Source organism: Homo sapiens, chromosome 6 (genome assembly GCF_000001405.40).
Source record: "Homo sapiens chromosome 6, GRCh38.p14 Primary Assembly".
In the NCBI taxonomy this organism is placed as follows: Eukaryota; Metazoa; Chordata; class Mammalia; order Primates; family Hominidae; genus Homo; species Homo sapiens.
The window spans coordinates 1,347,692-1,370,159 of NC_000006.12; the positions used below are offsets into that span (position 1 = coordinate 1,347,692).

General features: G+C 39.5%; 1 long non-coding RNA gene across 1 annotated transcript in view, besides 1 other annotated feature; it reads right to left on the reverse strand.

The window, feature by feature from the left end:
* Positions 1-22,468, reverse strand: part of FOXF2-DT (FOXF2 divergent transcript) — a 67,585-nt gene that overhangs the window by 24,217 nt on the left and 20,900 nt on the right. The gene's annotated exons all lie outside the window — the stretch shown is intronic.
* Positions 961-1,610: an enhancer, noted in NCBI's record as "OCT4-NANOG-H3K27ac hESC enhancer chr6:1348887-1349536 (GRCh37/hg19 assembly coordinates)". NCBI's record gives its function as "activates a minimal SCP1, AML or CMV promoter by ChIP-STARR-seq in naive and primed H9 embryonic stem cells {active_cell/tissue: H9 hESC(naive and primed)}" and the evidence as "EXISTENCE:reporter gene assay evidence [ECO:0000049][PMID:30033119]".

The window sequence follows — 22,468 nt, forward strand, 5'->3', positions numbered from 1 at the left end:
GCTGAGGCAGGAGAATCGCTGGAACCCAGGAGGCAGAGGTTGCAGTGAGCCGAGATTGCGCCACTGCACTCCAGCCTGGGCGATACAGCAAGACTCCTTCTCAAAAAATATATATTATTATTACTGATGGCAGATTACTCTGCATAATTATCCGGTTTTGCTTAGGTCTTTTCTCTGATGGATCAATACTGAAACTCTGACTTTCCTAAACACACGTATTCATTCATGTTCATGGAGTTCTGTTCTGATTTTTCTAGGAATATAGGTTAACTCATCATGCCCATTAACTTATGAAAGACCAGCGCTACTATACTTCCACTGCGTAATGCAAGACATCCTTATCTTTTCTCAGTTCTGCACACACACACACACACACACACACACACACAGGCGATGCTGCCCATGCATTCTTCCAAGCAGGGCTGGATCTTCACTCATGTGGGCCTGTGGACGTGAGTGGTCTTCACTCATGTCTTCTCAGTGATAGTATGGTGCCCACCATGCCCCACAGCCCACAGTGCTTCCGTGCCTTCTCACAACATCACAACAGTATCAGAGATGAGGGATGAGCTCCAGGCAACATGATAAAAACATCATTGTCCTGAATATAGCACCATTTGCTTAATCAAAAGGAAAAGGGTAGGTGAGCTTGGATGAAAAAGAGATAAGAAACAGGGGCAAGAAAAGCAACATGCAAGAGTAATAGCCCAGAACCCCCAAACAAATGTGCCAGGCCACACATCTGTCCTGGAGCTTGGGAGACAGTGGGTACCCCTGTGTGTATCACACTCCCACACACACCTGCTAAGGATGAAGGTTTAGAGACAGCCATATGGTCGGGAAGTGTTACTACTCATATTAACTGTTTAGGGAATCAGGGGGAAGCAGAGAGAGAGTTCAAGAAGTTGACCAAAGACCACCAGCCAGGTGCAGCAGAAACCTGCTGTGTCCGTGCTAAGACTGCTATAGGGTCCTCTAGGATCTCTCCCTGAATTTGCAGGTCATTCAGCACAGGAAGGACACTGAAGTAGCAACAGCAAGGCATGAGTCAGATAGTAGAGGGCTTTGGGCTTCTCCTTATGCCTCCACTCAAGAGTAAAGAGCTCTTCAAAGTCTTGGGTGACTAAACATTTTAGAGTGGCCACTTGAGGCTGAATACACAGGACAATAGAATGTCTCTTAAGAATCCAAAAGGACTTCCACAACACAGCAGTGAGCCTGCCTGCAAAGCTCTCCCTGCCCTTTCATCACATCCTGAAGGCTTGTGCTTGGCAGGAAGCAATGGCTGTAGGAGGCCCTGCCAATTGTTTCAGCCATCACCGCTTTATCATAAGCACAGCTGCATGTTTTGGCATCCACTGAACAACTCTTCTCTCTTGAGTCTAAAAAATAGTCCTAGGAAACATGGAGAGCCAGTGCAACATTTAATTTTTTAAACTATGAAATAGTTTGGTTCACATGAAAAAGAATACTAATGTATCTCTGCTGTGACTATGAAAGTATATTTATACGGCTGTAGAAAGCAAAGAAGAAAGAGAAAACTTTAAATGTAAAATTCTTGAGGATTGTAGAATAATGGATGGTTTTGTCCCCCATAAATATTTCTTAAGATGTCACCTTCAAAAATAACAAATGCAACACATGTTCACCACAATCTCTGAAACTATGCAAAGATAATAAAGAAAAAGCTAATATGCTTTTCCACACATCCTCTCCCCATTTATTCCCAAAATCTCACTACAACCAACTTGACACCCCAGGATTTGCCTTATACACCTGTCCCCATACTCAAAGGAAAATATAGACACATAGGAGCTTTCAGTTGTTATAATTTTAGGAAAATTGAAGATAGATGGATAGATAGAGACATAGATACCCACATTTATGTGCTCACTCTCTCTATATATATATAATTTTTCTCATTTAAAACATTGCCACACTCCTCCATGTCAAGAGACAACTAAAACTCTTTCTTCTGAGTAGTTTCACAACATTCCATGGTACAAATGTTCTTCTTGTTATCAGGTTTTCACTGTTAAAAACAATGCAGATAGCACTGTGAATGGCAGTAATGACCTCCAAAAATTCTCCCCTTCATATAAGCAATAAATACATTGGGAAAACTGTCACAATCAACTTTTCCTGACCTCTGGAAATTAACCAAGCCTTGCATTAATCCAAGGATCCTTTACTCGTGTAAACAGCTGAATCTAGGCAAGAACAGAGAGTTCTGTGACATTTTTAATTGCTTATTCCCATCTCCTCCTCCCTTGCTCTTTGGTAGCCTTAAAAACCAATAGCCAGCAATCACAGTAAAAACCAGAACCACTGAAGAAGGAAGAAAGGGATTAAACTTCCTTGAAAGCCCTGTTCCCAGAGAATTGTCATTATGCAACTTGTCAGGTTGGTCTTTGAAATATCCCACTCCCAAAGCTTGTCCTTATTTGACCTGATTCAAATAAGATACAAACAGTGCAAATGACCTTTTCTGGGATGAAGGGGGAGGCACTTGTAGAAAACAGATCAGTAGCAATTGTTTCACATAGTGACTGCCTGAAGCAGTGACAACAGGTGGAACGAAAAACAGGCTAACTAAAAAAATAAAAAGTAAAAGCTGAGTAATGAAATGTCCACAGAAGGCTGACATATTCTTGGGACTCTAGGAGGCTACATGCATGTGTAAGGCTATGTGCATATCCAGGGCTGTGAGCATTCTCAGAAAAGACCTGAGAAGTTCCCAAATTCTTGTCTCTGGCTGACCTTGAGGCTCTGTGCAAGCAGCAAGTGATGGCTAAGGTGGACACGAAAACCACACAACTGACTAATAAAGGCATGCCCCAAAACACACAGAGCCCCTTGGCAGAAACTAGAAAACTTATTGGTTCCAGATAGTTAAGGGATTTGCTACCCAATCATTAGCTGATCTCCAAACTAACTGAGCAGAGATTTCAGCAGCCACACATGACAAAGAATCTGGACTTGACACAATTAATTCTGAAAAGCCACTAAACAAACAAACAAACAACAACAAACCCTGGGTGAAGAGGGAGAGAAAAGTTGATTTATAGAGCTGCCACATTACATAATTTAAAATGTCCAGTTCTTAAGAAAAAACTATAATACATGTAAAGAAACAATAAGTTATGGCCTAAACACAAGGAAAAAAGCAATCAAAAGAAACTATACTTGAGGAAGCCTAGACTTTATATTTACCAGAGAAACACTTAAATCAGCAATTTTAAATATCTCCAGAAAACTAAAGGCAACCATATCTTAAAAAGTAAAGTCTGAAAATGATTTCTTACCAAATACAGAATATCAATAAAAAGATAGAAATTTTTTTTAAAAAAACAGCAAATAGCAGTTCTAGAATACAAAAATTATAAAAACTGAAATGAAGATTCACTGGAGGAACTCAACAGCAGATTTGAGCAGGCCAAATTAAAAATCAAGATTCTAAAATATACATTAATAGAGGTGATCCAGTATGAGGAACAGAAAAGAAAAAGAATGACAAAAAAATGAACAGATTCTCAGAAACTTCTAGGACATAATGAGGCATATAAACTACATGCATAATGGGAGTCCAAAATGTAGAGTAGAGAAAAATATAAAAAGCATATTTGATGAAATAATGACCAAATAGCTAAAAATTTGATGCAAAACATTAATCTACACATCCAAGAAAACTCAGCGAACTCCAAGGAGGATCAACACAAAGAAACTGAGACCAAGATACATTGCAAACAAACTGTCAAAAGACAAAGACCAAGACAGCATCTTAAAAACAGCAAGAAAGAAGCAACTCATCATATACATGAACTCATAAATAACATTAACAGCTGATTTCTCATCAAAAATAATGGAGGCCATAAGGTAATGGAATGACACATTTGAAATGCTGAATGGAAAAGACTGTCAACCAAGAATTCTACATCCAGCAAAACTATTATTCAAACACGAAGCAGGCATTAAGATAAACAAAAACTGCAAGAATCTATAGCTAGCAGACCTGCCCTACAATAAAAATTACAAGAAGCCCTTTGGGCTAAAATAAAAGGACACTAGATAGTAACTCAAATCCACAAGAAAAAATAAAAGTACTAGTAAAGCTCAATACATAGGAAATTATAAAAGAGAGTATAATTGCATATTTTGTTTGCAACTCTCTTTTTTTGCCTACTTAATTTTAAATGCACTCCATAAAGCAATAGCCATAAATCTGTGCTGATGGGCATACAACATACAAAGATGTCATTTGTATAACAATAACAGGACAAAGGAGAGGAGAGTAAATGGAGCAATATAGCAGCAAACTTTTTATATATTACTGTATTAGTCCATTTTCACACTGCTGATAAAGACATGCCCAAGACTGGGGGAAAAAAGAGGTTTAATTAGACTTACAGTTCCACATGGCTGGGGAGGCCTCAGAATCATGATGGGAGGCAAAAGGCACTGTTTACATGGCAGCAGCAAGAGAAAATGAGGAAGAAGCAAAAGCAGAAACCCTTGATAAACCATCAGGTCTCGTGAGAATTATTGACTATCACAAGAATAGCACAGGAATCATGGACCCCATGATTTAATTACCTCCCCCTGGGACCCTCCCACAACATGTGGGAATTCTTGGAGATACCATTTAAGTTGAGATTTGGATGGGAACACAGCCAAACCATATCATTCCACCTCTGGCCCTTCCAAATTTCAGGTTCTCATATTTCAAAACCAATCATGCCTTCCCAATAGTCCCCCAAAGTCTTAACTCATTTCAGCATTAACCCAAAAGTCCACAGTCCAAAGTCTCATCTGAGACCAGGCAAGTAAGTCCCCTCTGCCTATGGGCCTGTAAAGTCAAAAGCAAGCTAGTTACTTCCTAGATGCAATGTGGGTATGGGTATTGGGTAAATACAGCCATTCCAAGTGGGAGAAATTTGCCAAAACAAAGGGGTTACAGGGCCCATGCAAGTCTGAAATCCAGCAGAGCAGTCAAATTTTAAAGCTCCAAAGTGATCTCCTTTGACTTCAGATCTCACATCCAGGTCACACTGATGTAAGAGGTGGGTTCCCATGATCTTGGGCAGCTCTGCCCCTGTGGCTTTGCAGGGTACAGCCTCCCTCCAGCTGCTTTCATGGGCTGGCGTTGAGTGTCTGTGGCTTTTCCTGGTGCATGGTGCAAGCTGTTGGTGGATCTACCATTCTTGGGTCTAGAGGACAGTGACCCTCTTCTCACAGCTCCACTAGGCAGCCCCTCACTCAAATTAATCATCTAAACTTCCATCTTAAAGAACTATAAAAAAGGAAAACAAACTAAAAACAAAGCAGAAGGGAGGAAATAACAAAGACTACAGTGGAAATTAATAAAATAAGAAGTAGAAAAACAATAGCTGAAATTCACAAAATAAAAAAGTTGTTTCTTCAAAAGATCAACAAAATTAACAAACCTTTAGCTAGACTGACCAATATAAAAGAGAGAAGATTCAAATTATTAAAATTAGGAATGCAAGAGGGGACATTACTGCTGGACCCCTTCCTTACACCATATTAAAAAAAATTAACTCCATAGACATCCAAATACAAGAAGCTCAAAGAACATCTGGGAAATTCATTGCAAAAAGATCATCACCTAGGCACATAGTCATCAGGTTATCTAAAGTTACGATGAAGGAAAAAATCTTAAGAGCTGCAAGACAAAAGCATCAAATAACCTATAAAGGGAAATCTATCAGAATAACAGCAGATTTTTCAGCAGATTGGGGTCCCATCTTTAGCCTCCTGAAACAAAATAATTGTCACCCAAGAATTTTGTATCCAGCAAAACTAAGCTTCATAAATGAAGGAGACATAAAGTCTTTTTCAGAAAAACAAATGCTGAGAGAATTCACCACTATTAAGCCAGCACTATGAGAAGTGCTAAAAGAAGTTCTCAATCTTGAATCAAAACCTTGAAATACACCAAAACAGAACCTCCTTAAACCATAAATTTCACGGGGCCTATAAAATAATCACACAATGGGAAAAAGGCAATAACTAGCATAATTAATAGAACAGTACCTCTCATCTCAATACTAACGTTGAATGTAAATGGCCTAAATGCACCACTTAAAAGATACAAAATGGTAGAATGGATAAAAATCCATACACCAAGTATCTGCTGTCTTCAAGAGACTCTCCTAACACATAAGGACTCACATAAACTTAAGGTAAAGGGGTGAAAAAGATATTCCATGCAAATGGAAACCAAAAGCAAGCAGAAGTAGCTATTCTTGTATCAGACAAAATAGACAGTAAAGCAACAACAGTTAAAAAAGACAAAGAGGGATATTACATAATGATAAAAGGATTAGTCCAACAGGAAAATATCACAATTCTAAATATATATGCATCTAACAGTGGAGCTCCCAAGTTCATAAAACAATTACTACTAGAACTAAGAAATGAAATAAATGGCAACACAATAATAGTGGGGGACTTCAATACTCCACTGACAGCACTAGACAGGTCATCAAGAGAGAAAGTCAACAAAGAAAAAATGGACTTAAACTATACCCTAGAACAAATGGACTTAACAGATATTTACAGAACATTCTACCCAACAATTGCAGAATACACATTCCTTTCATCAGCACACAGAACATTCTCCAAGACAGACCATATAGTCAGTCACAAAACAAGTCTCAACAAATTTAAGAAAATCAAAATTATATCAAGTATCCTCTCAGGCCACAATGGAATAAAACTGGAAGTTAACTCCAAAAGGAATCCTCAAAACTATATGAATACATGAAAGTTAAATAAACTGCTCTTGAATGATCTTTGGGTCAACAATGAAATCAAAATTAAAAGTTGAAAATTATTTGAGCTGAATGATAATAGTTAAATAACTTATCGAAACCTCTGGGATACAGCAAAAGTCGTGCTAAAAGGAAAGTTCACAGCATTAAATGCCTACATCAAAAAGTCTGAAAGACAAATAGACAATCTAAGCTCACACCTCAAGGAGCTAGAGAAACAAGAACAAACCAAACCAAAACCCAGCAGATGAAAAGAAAGAACAAAGATCAGAGCAGAACTAAATGAAATTGAAACCAACAAAAATACAAAAGACAAATGAAACAAAAAGCTAGTTATTTGAAAAAACTAAATTGATAGACCATTAGTGAGATTAACCAAGCAAAGAAAAGAGAAGACCCAAATAAGCTCAATTAGAAATGAAATGGGAGATATTACAACCAATACCACAGAAATACAAAAGATCATTCCAGGCTACTATGAACACCCTTATGTGCACAAACTAGAAAATCTAGAGGAGATGGATAAATTTCTGGAAACATGCAACCTTTCTAGATAAAACTGGGAAGAAATAGAAACTCTGAACAGACCAATAACAAGCAGCAAGAGTGAAACAGTAATAAAAAAAATTATCAACAAAAAAAAGTCCAGGACCAGATGGATTCACAGCTGAATTCTATCAGGCATTCAAAGAAAAATTGGTACCCATCTTACAGAAACTATCCCAAAAGATAGAGAAAGATGGAATACTACCTAAGTCCTTCTATGAAGCTGGTATCCCTAATACCAAAACTATGAAATGACATAACAAAAAAAAAGAAAACTACAGACCAATATCCCTGATGAATATAGATGCAAAAATCCTCAACAAAATACTAGCTAACCAAATCCAACAGCATATCAAAAAGATAATACACCATGATCAAGTGGGTTTCATACCAGAATGCAAAAATCCTCAATAAAATACTAGCTAACCAAATCCAACAGCATATCAAAAAGATAATACACCATGATCAAGTGGGTTTCATACCAGGATGCAAAAATCCTCAACAAAATACTAGTTAACCAAATCCAACAGCATATCAAAAAGATAATACACCATGATCAAGTGGGTTTCATACCAGGGATGCAGGTATGGTTTAACATACACAGGTAAATAAATGTGGTACATCACATAAGCAGAATTAAAAACAAAAATCATATGATCATCTCAATAGATGCAGAAAAAGCATTTGACAAAATCCGCATTAGAAGGAAGGAAGGAGGGAGGGAGGGAGGGAGGGAAGGAAGGAAGGAAGGAAGGAAAAAGGAAAGGAAAGGAAGAGAGGGAAGGGAGGGGAGGGGAGGCGAGGGTAGGAAAGGGGAGGGGGAAGGGAAGGGAAGGGAAGGGAGATAGCCCACAAAATGGAAGAAAATATCCAGAAATGATATACCTGATAAAGAACTTCTACACAGAATATATAATGAAGTCTTACAACTCAATAATTTTAAAAAACCATTTTTAAAATAGGCAAGGTATTTGGATAGACATTTATCCAAATATATACAATAGTAAATAAGTACATAAAAGGATGTTCCATATTACTAGTCATTAGAGAGATGCAAATCAAAACCACACTTTATACCCACTAGGAAGGCTAGAATAAAAAAGACAGACAATAACAAGTGTTGATAAGCTATGGAGAAATGGAACACTCATACGTTGCTGGGGGGACAGCCACTTTGGAAAACAGTTTTCACAGTTCCTCAAAATGTTACACATGGAGTTACCAGGTGACTGAACAATTCCACTTCTAAGTATATACCCAAGGGAGTTGGAAACGTGTCCACACAAATGCTTGCACACAAGTATTCATAGCAGCGTTATTTATTATAGCTAAAAGGTAGAAACAACTCAAATATCTATCAACTGATAAACAAACAAAATGTGATACTTCTATAAAATGGAATAGTATTTGGCCATTAAAAAGAAGGAAGTAGGGCCAGGCATGGTGGCTCATGCCTGTAATCCCAGCACTTTGGGAGGCCGAGGTGGGCGGATCACCTGAGGTCAGGAGTTCGAGACCAGCCTGGCCAACATGGTGAAAACCCATCTCTACTAAAAATACAAAAATTAGCCAGGCATGGTGGTGCACGCCTGTAATCCCAGCTACTCAGGAGGCTGAGGTATGGGAATTGCTTGAACCAGGGAGGCAGAGGTAGCAGTGAGCCGAGAGCGCACCACTGCATTCCAGCCTGGGTGACAGAGCGAGACTCCATCCCCCCCCACCAAAAAAAAAAAAAGAATGAAGTTTAAGGCCAGGCATGGTGGCTCAGGCCTGTAATCCCAACACTTTGGGAGGCCGAGGCAGGCAGATCATCTGAGGTCAGCTGGCCAATATGGTGAAACCTTGTCTCTACTAAAAATATAAAAACTAGCCAGGCGTGGTGACGTGTGCCTGTAATCCCACCTACGTGGGAGGCTAAGGCAGGAGAATCCCTTGAACCCAGGAGGCAGAGGTTGCACTGAGCCAAGGTCATGCCACAGCACTCCAGCCTGGGTGACAGAGCGAGACTCTATCTCAAAAAAAAAAAAAAAGAATTAAGTACCAACACACACTGCAACATGAATGAACCCTGAAAATATTATACCACATGAAGGAAGCCAGACATAAAGTGCCAAATATTGTTTAATTCCATTTAAATGAAATGTCTGGTATAGGCAAATCCATAGAGACAGAAAGTCAGTTAGTGGCTTCCAGAGGCCGGAGGCAGGGGGAAATGAGAAATTATTGCTAATGGGTACAGAGTTTCTTTCTGGGGTTATGAAAATGTTCTGGGCCGGGCGCGGTGGCTCATGCCTGTAATCCTAGCACTTTGGGAGGCCAAGGTGGGCGGATCACCTGAGGTCGGGAGTTTGAGACCAGCCTGACCAACATGGAGAAATCCCATCTCTACTAAAAATACAGAAATTAGCTGGGCATGGTGGCACATGCCTGTAATCTCAGCTACTTGGGAGGCTGAGACAGGAGAATCGCTTGAACCCGGGAGGTGGAGGTTGCCGTCAGCCAAGATCGAGCCATTGCACTCCATCCTGGGAAACAATAGCAAAAATCTGTCTCAAAAAACAAAAATAAAATAAAATAAAAAAGAAAATGTTCTGGAATTATATAGTAATGGTGGTTGCACACCTTTGTGAATACAGTTGGCCTGTGAACAATACGGGTTTGAACTGAGCAGGTTCACTTACTTCCAGCTCTGTCACCCCAGGACAGCAAGACCAATCCCTCCTCTTCCTCCTTTTCAACCTACACAACATGAAGATGATGAGAGTGACAACCTTTATAATGATACACTTTCAGGTAATGAATAGGAAACATTTATTCTCTTCCTTATGCTTTTCTTAATAACGTTTTCTTTTCTGTAGCTTACTTTATTGTAAGACTATAATATATAAATGTATATTCTAAATACATCTATATAACATATAAATGTATATTCTAAATACATCTATATAACATATAAATGTATATTCTAAATACATCTATATAACATATAAATGTATATTCTAAATACATCTATATAACATATAAATGTATATTCTAAATACATCTATATAACATATAAATGTATATTCTAAATACATCTATATAACATATAAATGTATATTCTAAATACATCTATATAACATATAAATGTATATTCTAAATACATCTATATAACATATAAATGTATATTCTAAATACATCTATATAACATATAAATGTATATTCTAAATACATCTATATAACATATAAATGTATATTCTAAATACATCTATATAACATATAAATGTATATTCTAAATACATCTATATAACATATAAATGTATATTCTAAATACATCTATATAACATATAAATGTATATTCTAAATACATCTATATAACATATAAATGTATATTCTAAATACATCTATATAACATATAAATGTATATTCTAAATACATCTATATAACATATAAATGTATATTCTAAATACATCTATATAACATATAAATGTATATTCTAAATACATCTATATAACATATAAATGTATATTCTAAATACATTTATATAACATATAAATGTATATTCTAAATACATTTATATAACATATAAATGTATATTCTAAATACATTTATATAACATATAAATGTATATTCTAAATACATTTATATAACATATAAATGTATATTCTAAATACATTTATATAACATATAAATGTATATTCTAAATACATTTATATAATATATAAATGTATATTCTAAATACATTTATATAATATATAAATGTATATTCTAAATGGGTGAATTCTATGGAATGTGAACTGTATCTCAATAAAAGGAAAAATGCAGAAATAAACACTTTTGTACATGTATTGTTATAAATTGGAGATTTTCTTTCTCAAGGATATATTCCCAAATGTGAGATGGCTGTGTCAAAGTTCTAAGGCGTTTTTTTCCCTGAATTTTAGATATTGCAAGGTTATTTTCCAAAAGTGATATTCCAATTCACACTCACAACAAAAGTCTATTGAAAATTTTATTTCTCTGAATTCTGTCTGTCCCACAGTGTTTAATTTTTGCCAAGCATATGGGTGAAAACAATATCATTATTACTTAAACTGCATTTCCCTCTTTCATTGCACTTCTTTTCGTATTTATGTATAATCTGGATTTCTCCAACTATGAATTCCCAAATCGTATTCTTTGCCTATTTTTCTATTAGGTTTTTGTCTTTTTCTTAATGATGTGTGAGAGCTCTTCATACACTGGATGTATTAACCCTTTATCTAGCTAATGCATTACAGATTTTGTGCCCTTTTTGTTTACAGTATCTGTATCTTGAAATGTCCATTTAGATCAACACAATATGGGTTGAGTAATTTGAAAAAACAAGAAATAAGACCACTTCATACCTATTCTTTTCTTAAACCTCCATACCCAGCTCTTCACTCTCACTGTAAAATAGAAGCCTTCCAAAAAGGAAGTCCTCCTGTCACCACTACCAGTACGTGGACCTGCCTGAATGTGTGCCCACGTGTGCTGCACCTGAAATTCTTAAAGTGGTCAGCTGTTCTCTCTTGAGATCCAAGGGCCACTCTCCCTTTTTCATAGCTCCTTAAAATTTAAATTCAAACTTCTGGCTTTGTATCATCAGTTACCATGATGGGAACTTAGTAGATATCACATACACTCATTGAATTGAATTGACCGGTTTGGGTCAAGACAAGTTAGAGATTGCTCAAAGATAAATCAATTTCCTGAAATTATCATGGCTAGACTTGGTCTGGTCTAGTCAAAATTCTAGAGCAGTGTTTCTCCCAATTTTTTTTTAAATCTCAAGACCTCTCTGCACCCTTAAAAACTGAGGATGCCACCAGGTGCGGTGGCTCACATCTGTAATCCAAGGCTGAGGCGGGTGGATCACTTGAGGTCAGGAGTTCGAGACCAGCCTGGCCAACATGGTGAAACCCTGTCTCTACTAAAAATACAAAAATTAGCCAGGCACGGTAGTGTGTGCTTGTAATCCCAGCTACTTGGGAGGCTGAGGCAGGAGAATCGCTTGAACCCAAAGGCAGAGTTTGCAGATCACACCACTAGACTCCAGCCTGGGTGTCAGAGTGAGACTCCATCTCAAAAAAAAAAGAAAAACTGAGGACCTCAGAGACCTTTTATGTAGGTGGTTTATACCTACCCATTTTTACTGTATTTGAAATTAAAACTGTTTTTAAGCATTTATTAATAAGCCTATGTTAAAATAACAAAAATAAATTCATTACATATTAACATAAATACAATATTTTATGGAAAATACATTTTCTAAAGACAAATTTGTGAGAAAGGTGGCATTGTTTGATATTTTTGCAAATCTTTTTACTGTCTGGCTTGATGGAAGATACATTGTCATAACTGTATTGCATTTAACCTGCCGCAATGTGTTGTTTTGCTTCAGGTATATTAAAAAAAAACCCAACTTCACACAGATATGTATTTGGAAAGGTGGTGGAGTGGGGTGTTTCTATTGCCTTTTCAGATACTTGTGGATATTCTTTGATACTACATCAAAACTTGACAAGTGGAAATTTCTTAAAGATTAGTTACCATGTGGAATCTGAAACCATATCATGAAGTTTTTAACTCTGTTACATAAAAATTTACTTGTCAATCTTGCATGATTTTGTAACATGCATGTCTTGGAAAAATTGGTTCACTGAAGCACACAGATTTTCTAAATTTAACACATTTTATTTAACACAAAATTTTTTTCAGTAATATTTGTTAATATCAGCACTGATTTTGGCTGAAAATTCTTTAAGATTTTAGGAATCTGTCAAGCTCACAGTGGGAGATACAAGTTCTCTTTTTCTTTTTTTCTTTTAGAGGCCGTCTCCTTCTGTTGCCCAGGAACCATCATAGCTCACTGCAACCTTGAATTCCAGGGCTCAAGGCATCCTCCCGCCTCAGCCTCCGGAGTAGCTAAGCCTAAAGGTAAGAACGGCCACTCCTGACTCATTTCTTTCTTCTTTTTTGTAGAAATGAAGTCTCCTTATGTTGCCCAATCTGGTCTTGAATTCCTGGCCCCAAGTAATCCTCCACCTCAGCCTCCCAAAAGTACTGGGGTTACAGGCATGAGTCGCCACTCCTGGTCCAGGTTTTCCAAAATTCTAACTTTTACTAGGAAGCCCATATTTTACCTTGGCAACAAATACTGTCAGCTATTGTTTCCCTTGAAGCAACAAGCTCACTTCATTTATTTTAAAGAAAAAGCCACCAAACACCTCAGTCAGAACAACCACAGTTTTTCAGTCCTCCTTTCAAGTCAAAATGGTGTTCCATGAAACAAGCAATAAATTCAGCTGGCAATTTAAATAACCATATGCATGCTTTGTTCAAAGCGACCACTGTAATTGAATATGCAGCAGAAGGGATTGATATATACTTCCCACCTTATCACCCAGAGTACTCAAAAGACACATAACCAAGGGCCAACATTTTACAAAATTAATGGTTTCTACCTCTTCACCAAGACATTCTTCAGGAAAGCCGACTTTTTTTGACTGGGAGTGTGTGACAGCAAAGAAGCAAAGAACACAGTGGTGACAGGTACAGTACAGTTAGGTATCACTGCCTCAATGTGCGGTGAGACAACAGCTGTTTGACCCACCAGCGCACATGCACAGCGGTGTAAATGTCAACACAGAATAAAAGACATCTGAAAAGTTATTCATCACTTGGACTATTTCAGCACCATGTGTCATTCCCATCAAAGAGCCTCCTTTGATGAATCATTTATCTGATACGAGATGAATACAAGAAAACGCACATGTATGTTCACTGCAGCACTATTCACAATAGCAAAGACTTGGGACCAACCTAAATGTCCATCAATGATAGACTGGATTAAGAAAATGTGGCACATATACATTATGGAATACTATGCAGCCATAAAAAAGGATGAGTTCATGTCCATTGCAGGGACATGGATGAAGCTGGAAACCATTATTCTGAGCAAACTACCCCAAGGACAGAAAACCAAACACCACATGTCCTCACTCATAGGTGGGAATTGAATAACGAGAACACTTGGACACAGGGTGGGGAACATCACACACTGGGGCCTGTCGTGGGTGGGGGGAGGGGGGAGGGATAGCATTAGGAGATATACCTAATGTCAATGACGAGTTAATGGGTGCAGCACACCAACATGGCACATGTATACATATGTAACAAACCTGCATGTTGTGCACATGTACCCTAGAACTTAAAAGTATAATAAAAAAAAAAAAACAGAAGGAAATTTGGCTGGACGCAGCGGCTCACACCTGTAATCTCAACATTTTGGGATGCCGAAGTCGGTGGATCACCTGAGGTCAGGAGTTCAAGACCAGCTTGACCAATATGGTGAAACCCCATCTAAAAAAAAAAAGATAAGCAGTAAGTCCAGCCTCCATTTATAAGCCAAAAGTACAATTGTGCAGACAAGATAGGAATACAGTCTTCATGTTTGCAGCTGAGGCTTTCATTCAACAGGCCATAGTATTGATGGACAGTGGCAGTGCCATGACTTCTTTGCTGATTTTGCGGCCAGTAGACATTCAGCAAAGCCAGCTCTACAGGGCTTCACTCTTCGCTCGGCTGTTGTGTTCTTACCCAGCCTATGAACATGATAACTTACTCCGTAAGATGCTTCCGCGGTTCTTTCATGTCTAGTTTGGAAAGCTGTAACAATTTTGGGGTTTTTAAGGAGCTCATCAAGTCTATGTTTAAAATACTCAACTCCCTTTTTCCTTAAACTCTGAATGTTTTGTCCAAAAATAATGTCACAATTTAACTAGCACCATAATACAATTTGGAATTTTTTCTGTTGCGTAAGACACCATAAGGTAAATTCCTAACGTCTATAGAGCTGATGACCATCACATTTTCGTTGCCATTTACAATTTCACACAGTTTCTTGGGATTAGACTTCTCCTTTCATGACTGAGAGAATGCTCTGATACAGCAATTCTGTCCTTTTCGGCGCCTTTACACATGAGATGCTGCACGCTGAGAAAGCAAATCTTCTAATGTCCCTTTGGAAAGTCCATGACCCATCCTTAAATATAACAAAACGTGTTACAAATAAATTTCATTTTATTTTAGAATAAGATATTAGATTCTAGAATTGTAACAGTTTTAGACAGAATTATAAAATTTATAAAAGGGTTCAGAAAAAATAGGAGAATGCTATTGAAACAAGACAAAAACCGTACTTACTTTTTGTCATATTTCTGCACAGTTGCAGAGAAACTGTTGGGACTTCAATATAACAATTTATAAACATGATAGTAGACACAGGGAAGACAGACAGCAAGAACGCAGTGGAGGAACTAAGAACAAGCTGAGTTCATCTCTGAAAATGTGCCCCGAACACATCAACCCTACTAACTGAGAAGGTTCTGGAGGACATAAGAACACACAAGCCCATGTTTCACCAGCCATTGTGCAATATCTTCACACGCCATGTATCGTAGCCTCTGGAAAACCCTAGGGCACTCTCTTGTGAGAGTGATGGTGAAAAGAGGAAATACTGTCTTAGTATTATTATGAAATAGTTTCAACCTCACAGACCCCTGAGAGGGTCATGGAGACCCCAGGGATCCACACACCACATCATGAGAACACTACTCTAGATGACTTCCTTTGATCTTGAAGGCAGAATCCAGGAAGAAAAAAAAAAAAAAAAATCAAGGCCCAGGGAGCCTGGGCTTTCCCACAGCCTTGGGGCTTCCAACCAGGGTTGGGAGGTGCGTTTTTACCAGGAAGAGCCTCCTCCACACTCACAGGCCTTCTGCAGCTGCAGGCTTCCAAACCAGAAAGGACATTCGAGGCAGCCACATGGCACGCTTGCTTCTCCGCAGCTTTCTCTCCGTTCCTGGGGACATGTTCCACCTCACTGACAACCCTTCACATGTGCACGCCATTCTGGAGATGGGTCATAAACATTTGAACTATATTGGCTCAATAATGGGGACATTTTGGCTCCAGACTGTGCTGAACTTTGCCCATTCCAGAAATATCCCGTAAGACATTCCCAAGGCACTGAATGATGCAAACCACATTTATCCACTTACGATGGACAAAAATGTGACTGCAAAGCAGAACCTCAGCTTCTTCCCAGATAAAAGAGATGATGTGGACGGTGTTCATAATACAAAACTTCCATTTCCCCTTACTTGAAAACAACTTCCCATGGCTCACGACAGACTCCTGAAGTTTTAAGAATGATTTAGTGTAGAATCAATATCAAGCACCTCCTGTACCCTCTGCCCTCACGCGTGGGAGCAGGATACGGTCCAGCAGATGGCGTCATCCCCATGCTTCAGGAGTTTTGCAAATACTAATATTAACAGGCATAGCAGAAAAGCAGTAGTAACATGTCTGCGTCACTTATTATAGGCACAGTCATCAAGCATTAGCATTTACTCTACACATACTTTTTTAAAATTCTGCAATTTATTGGCATAGGACAGTGAGCAGTCATTCCACCCAGTCTCCTTAAGCAGTATTCCTCTTTCTATCTTATTAGCCAGCTTTCTATCTGGATTCGTGTGCTCCGGCTTCCGTAACAAATATCAGACACTGGGGGCTTAGACAACAAGCATTTATCCTCTCACAGTCCTGGAGGCTGGAAGTCTGATACCAAGAGGTGGGCAGGGTTGGTTTCTCCTGGTGCTCCTCTCCTTGGCTTGCAGATGGCGTCTTCTCTCTGTGTCTTCAAATGACCTTCCCTCTTAGTGTGTCTGTGTCCTCATTTCTTCTCCTTTTAAGGACAGCGTCTAAATTGGATTAGGGCTCACCCAAAGGCCTCATTTTAACTTAATTGCCTCTTTTAAGACTCTATCTCTAAATACCGTCACATCCTGAGGTCCTGAAGGTTAGGGCTTCAACATATGAGCTCTGGGGAGGCCAAATCCAACCCCTAACATTATCTTTCCTGTATCCTTCAGTGTTCTCTTACATTTTCTCAGGGAAGACTGGGCAGCAAACATTATCAGCCTTGTTCACCCATGAATCAACAGGCCTTGGCAAATATTTCTGGCATGTAGCAATGGTTCCATAAATATTTGTTGAAAAGATGAAAGTTTTATGAATGTTCACTTGTAGATCCATCAGCATCACAAACATAAAAATATTACAACCTAAGAATCCTATTCAAGTGACTCCATTCTATATTTTATAGCAAGAAACAGTCATTTATTCTCATACAAAGTATCCCAAATAATTGGATCCAAAGACTGTTACACGATGCAGTTATTAAGTTTTAAATTATTTTCTGAGTGGTAACTCAAAATAATTCTACGAATTTACTTAATGTCTTTACCTCTGTTAAGGTAAGAGAACTAAATAAACTTTTGAAGTATGATTTTCAGAATGAATAATACTTTCCCATGTTGCTGAGTCAAGTTTATCTTAAACTGTGCTGTCCATGGCCTCAAGCCTTCCATACTGATAAGTGATTCTGCATGTGAACACACACTTCCACAAACCACGGCATGTGCAGATTAAAGGAAAAGAGTTTTTGGTCAAAATTTCCCCACATATGCTCTCGAGCAATATCATTTATTATGTAAATAAGCTCCTTTAAAGCGTAAATGTTTAAAGCAGGAAACTAAGCAAATCTGGGTTGTTGGTTTTTTTTCTCTCCCTCTCTAAATAGAAAAAGGGATGCTTCTCAAGGCATACAGCAAAGTCAGGACATTTATATCTTCCATTCCATGAACTCATAAACATCTGCATTTGCATCTGGAGTTATACGGCCTGCGTATCTAAACCAAAATTCATCCGCACGCTGTATCTGGAAAATTATTCATCAGAAAGAAAAGTATTGCAAAATGTAGCTGGCTTCTTGAATGTCATGGAAAAAATTCCTTTAAAAAATAAATAAATAAAAGTTGTTCTGAACTCTGCAGAATTGGCAGGAAACTGAAGAAGTCCAGGATTTTTCTCTGCTGGTTTTAGTCTTCTTAAATACCGGGAGCCTTAAAATACCTTCACTGGGGGCAACAGAGAAAAACAGAAATAGCAGCATTGTGTCGGCCACAGTAGGCCATCCCATTCACACAGCAGCCTGCAAACAATCTCTCGTGCCACATTTAGGGAAAAACACAATTTTAGGAAATCCAAACAACCCGTAAACCCACTGACCTACAGATAACCTATTCGGCAACAATGAAACTTGGAAAAAGTAAAAGGGAAAAGAAACTCGCAAAGGAAAAAGAAGGCTTTCCTATCTCAGGAACTAAGTCAAAAGCCCAGGTATTTCAAATCCCTGCCTTCATGGGTCTGCTCTGGTTCTGAAGTCCTGTTGGGTAATTTACCTGTGCTATGTAAGTCACTATGGAAGACAGCTCAGCACCGTGGCTCTGAAGTGCAGGGAATGCCACACACACAGCTAACGCAGAGCAACCGGTCTCCAGGACACAGACGAACCTCGAGTTAAATTTCACCTCAAAAGCATAGGGGAGCATCGAGATTGTTTGCTACATGCTCAACCACTGCAGGAAATCATGCAAAGAAAACTATTATGGAGCTTGCAGGCCCTTCCCAAGTAAGGAGACACCTCAGAGAAAGAAGACTGTCATAGCTCATAGTGCAGACCACAGAAGGCAAAGATCCAGATAAAAACGGAGGCAAAAATCAAGCATGTGTGGACTTTTCCTAGAACCCTCCTTTGGCTGTATGAAAAGGCAGATGCAAGATGCCCCTCCATTCTGAATTTCATTCAAAACAAAAAGTATTTCAGAATTTTGTTTCCACATTCAAATTGTGATGACCTAGAAAAGCACAAAAACTTTGACTTGTTTGTTTGTTTTACTTCTCTCTTTGTCCCAGGGACAGAGGAATTTTTTTAAAATAAGGAAAATAGCAAAGCATGGTGGCTTACGCCTGTAACCCTAGTACTTTCAGAGGCCAAGACAGAGGGATCACTTGAGGCCAGGAATTCAAGACCAGCCTGGGCAGCATAGTAAGGCCCCCATCTCTACAAAAAAAAAATTAAAGATTATCTGGGCAGGGTTGTGCACACTTGGAGTCCCCAGCTACTCATGAGGCTGAGGCAGGAGAATCACTTGAGCCTAGGAGGTTGAGGCTGAGGTGAGCTAGGATCGTGCCACTGCACTCCAGCCTGGGTGATAGAGGGATACCGTCCCTAAAAATAAATAAAATTAAATAAGGAAATTAGCAAACTTTCATCAAGGTATTAATATCTATACCAAAGTAAGGAAGCCAGATCTAGGCCTTGGAATAACAAGCCTGAAGAAGCAGTGTTCTCTCAAAATCAAAACAGGAAAACCTAAGAGTTTTTTAAAGAAGCTTTTTACACGAGAGAGATCTGAAGCAAAAGTGACAGTGTCCAGAGAACAGAGATGACTAGATGAAAAAGCATTGGCTGTGTCATCAGTTGCCAAATACTAAAGACCAAAAGAGGGAGCAGACCCCTCCAGGCTGTCCTGTGGGTGGTGGCAGCCCAACACCAGTGACCCCTCACCCTAGAAGTTTCATCTCTGAGAAGACCAGGCGCACAAGACAGGGCCCAGCCCAGGCCAACCCACAGATGCTCAATCCACTGCAGGGAGAGAGCATCCCAAGGTTCCAATGCCCATCCCCATCCCTTCCACTTCTGATGAAAGTGTGTCCTGAGTAACCTACCACCCATCCACACCTCACCGAGGTCTCCTTAAAGGGTGATCCTCCACTCACAGCAGTCTCCTTAAAGGATGGACCCTAGGGCAGACATCTTCCATTTTATTTCTCTTTTATTCATTTATTTCTCATTTATTTTTGAGACAGGGTCTCTGCCACCCAGGCTGGAGTACAGTGGCACAACCTTGGCTCACAGCAGCCTCAACTGTCCAGGCTCAAGTGATCTTCTTACCTCAGCCTCCCAAGTAGCTGGGACTACAGACACACGCCATCACGCCCGGCTTTTTTAAATGCTTTGTAGAGACGGGATGTGGCCATGTTGCCCAGGCTTGTCTCAGACTCCTGGACTCGAGTGATCCTCCCCGCTCAGCCTCCCAAAGTGCCGGGATTTGCAGGCATGAGCCGCCCTGCCCAGCCACATCTTCTAGTTTAAGAGGAAGACAGTACAATCTTGGAATTGAAACACGGACCTTCTGGATAATATTTTAAATGAGAAGCTCTCTCGAGTTGGAGAAGAGAAAAAAGGAAAATTTATGCTCAATCCACAATAAACCAATGCTTATATTGTAAGCAGTTCATTGGTAATTGTTAGACATTTTGTGACCGATGGTCCACCCCGTGCAGTGGAGCCATAAAACAATCCCCCGATCCCCCTTAAGTTATAACAATTAAGCCAGATGGATCGTGAATGCCTCATAGATACCAATAAGACTCACTGTCATAAACTGTAACCCATCATCAGCTCTCTCCATCCATGTGCCAGGGACCCTCAGGGACAGGAAAACGAACCTCCATGGTAAAAATCAGAACACACAAGCCCTCTCTGTGCCTTCCTTACTATTGCTTCTAAAATGAAGTTTTCTCCACTCACAGGAAAATTATTACTTTTCTGTCTTAGTTTCTTTGAAATCTTTTCAACTTGACCAAAGGAGACACATGAAGAACTAATACTTCATCCTCAATTTCCAGCCCCTCCTCCCTCACCTATTTTTCAATATATTTGCTTCACTCACTCAAATGAAATTGCCAAAACTTCACAGGTTCCAGGTCAGGACGAATGGCGAGAAGGAAGGTAGAAGTCACCAGGCGTTGCCACAGAGATCTGAGAAACTTGCTCATATTCTGTCACCCTCTGTAGATGACTACCCAGGTCTCCTGAAAACCATGTTTTGCACCCACGGTCAAAAAACTGAGGACGACCCAGGCTTTGCATAATCTGACTGCATCGCATTCTGACAGTCCTCAAGGAATGGGGAGAGGAAATTACTTGCACCCTGAAAAAGCATCTTTGCTGACGACTGGGAACGCCAGAGGAGGTTTTATAGTAAGGTCTATAATAGAATACTGGGACGAGCTGGGGTAGTTTTCCGCCTCAGGCTGTGCTGCCAATAAAAGCGCAGGCCAGCCCGCTGTTTTTAAGTGCCGTGGACTATGATGTCAGAATTCATTACGCACACAGGGGCTATTTACTGCCTCATAAACTTGTAGACAAGGAAATTGTTGGAGAAAAAATGGTTTCCAAAGCTTCAATGCAATCATTCATTGGGCAGTTCCCCCCAAGGACCACCAAGTCCATCTCCAAGGACTTTTCTGGCTGAAAGCAAAGTCCTGTGTCCAGAGTAGTAAAAACTCCTGGGCTCGTTCTATTTTGAGTACTTATGCCATATCTAAGCCAGGGTTGGCCCAAGTTGAAGGGTACATCTTTAAGGGAAAGATGCTTTTCCACAGCCCCATGGCTGTGCCCAGCAGACACTCAACATGGCTAAGGTGAGAAGGGGGAGGAGGAGAGAGAAGGGTAAGAAAGGAAGGGAGCAGAGGCAGAACATCCCCACATTATTAGTCCTCTTGGTATGGGAGCAGGCAAATAGCCCCTCATCAAGGCCAACTCTTTAAAACTTGGTTTCAACTAACATTATCTATTAGGCACCACCATGCAGTGTGTTAGAGACACAGAACCCAAAACTGGGCCTGGCACCCCGCAGGCACTCAAAACATATTTGCTGAATGAATGATGAAAAAAGAAATGCCACCCCTATTCTCCAGCCTAAAGTAAAGCTGACTGTATTAGTCCATTTTCATGCTGCTGATAAAGACACACCCAAGACTGGGCAATTTACAAAGAAAGAGGTTTAATGGACTTACAGTTCCACATGGTGGGGGAAGCCTTGCAATCATGGCAGAAGACAAGGAGGAGCAAGTCACATCTTACATGGATGGCAACAGGCAAAGAGACAGCACTTGTGCAGGGAAACTCCCCCTTATGAAGCCATCAGATCTCGTGAGACTTATTCACTATCAGGAGAACAGCACAAGAAGGACTTGCCCCCACAATTCAATTGCCTCACACCAGGTCCCTCCCACAACATGTGGGAATTCAAGATGAGATTTGGGTGGGGATACAGCCAAACCATATCAGTGACAAAGACATCCAAATACCACCCTTCTAAGACAGGCATGATTGCACACACCAGTAATCTTGGCAACTTAAGAGG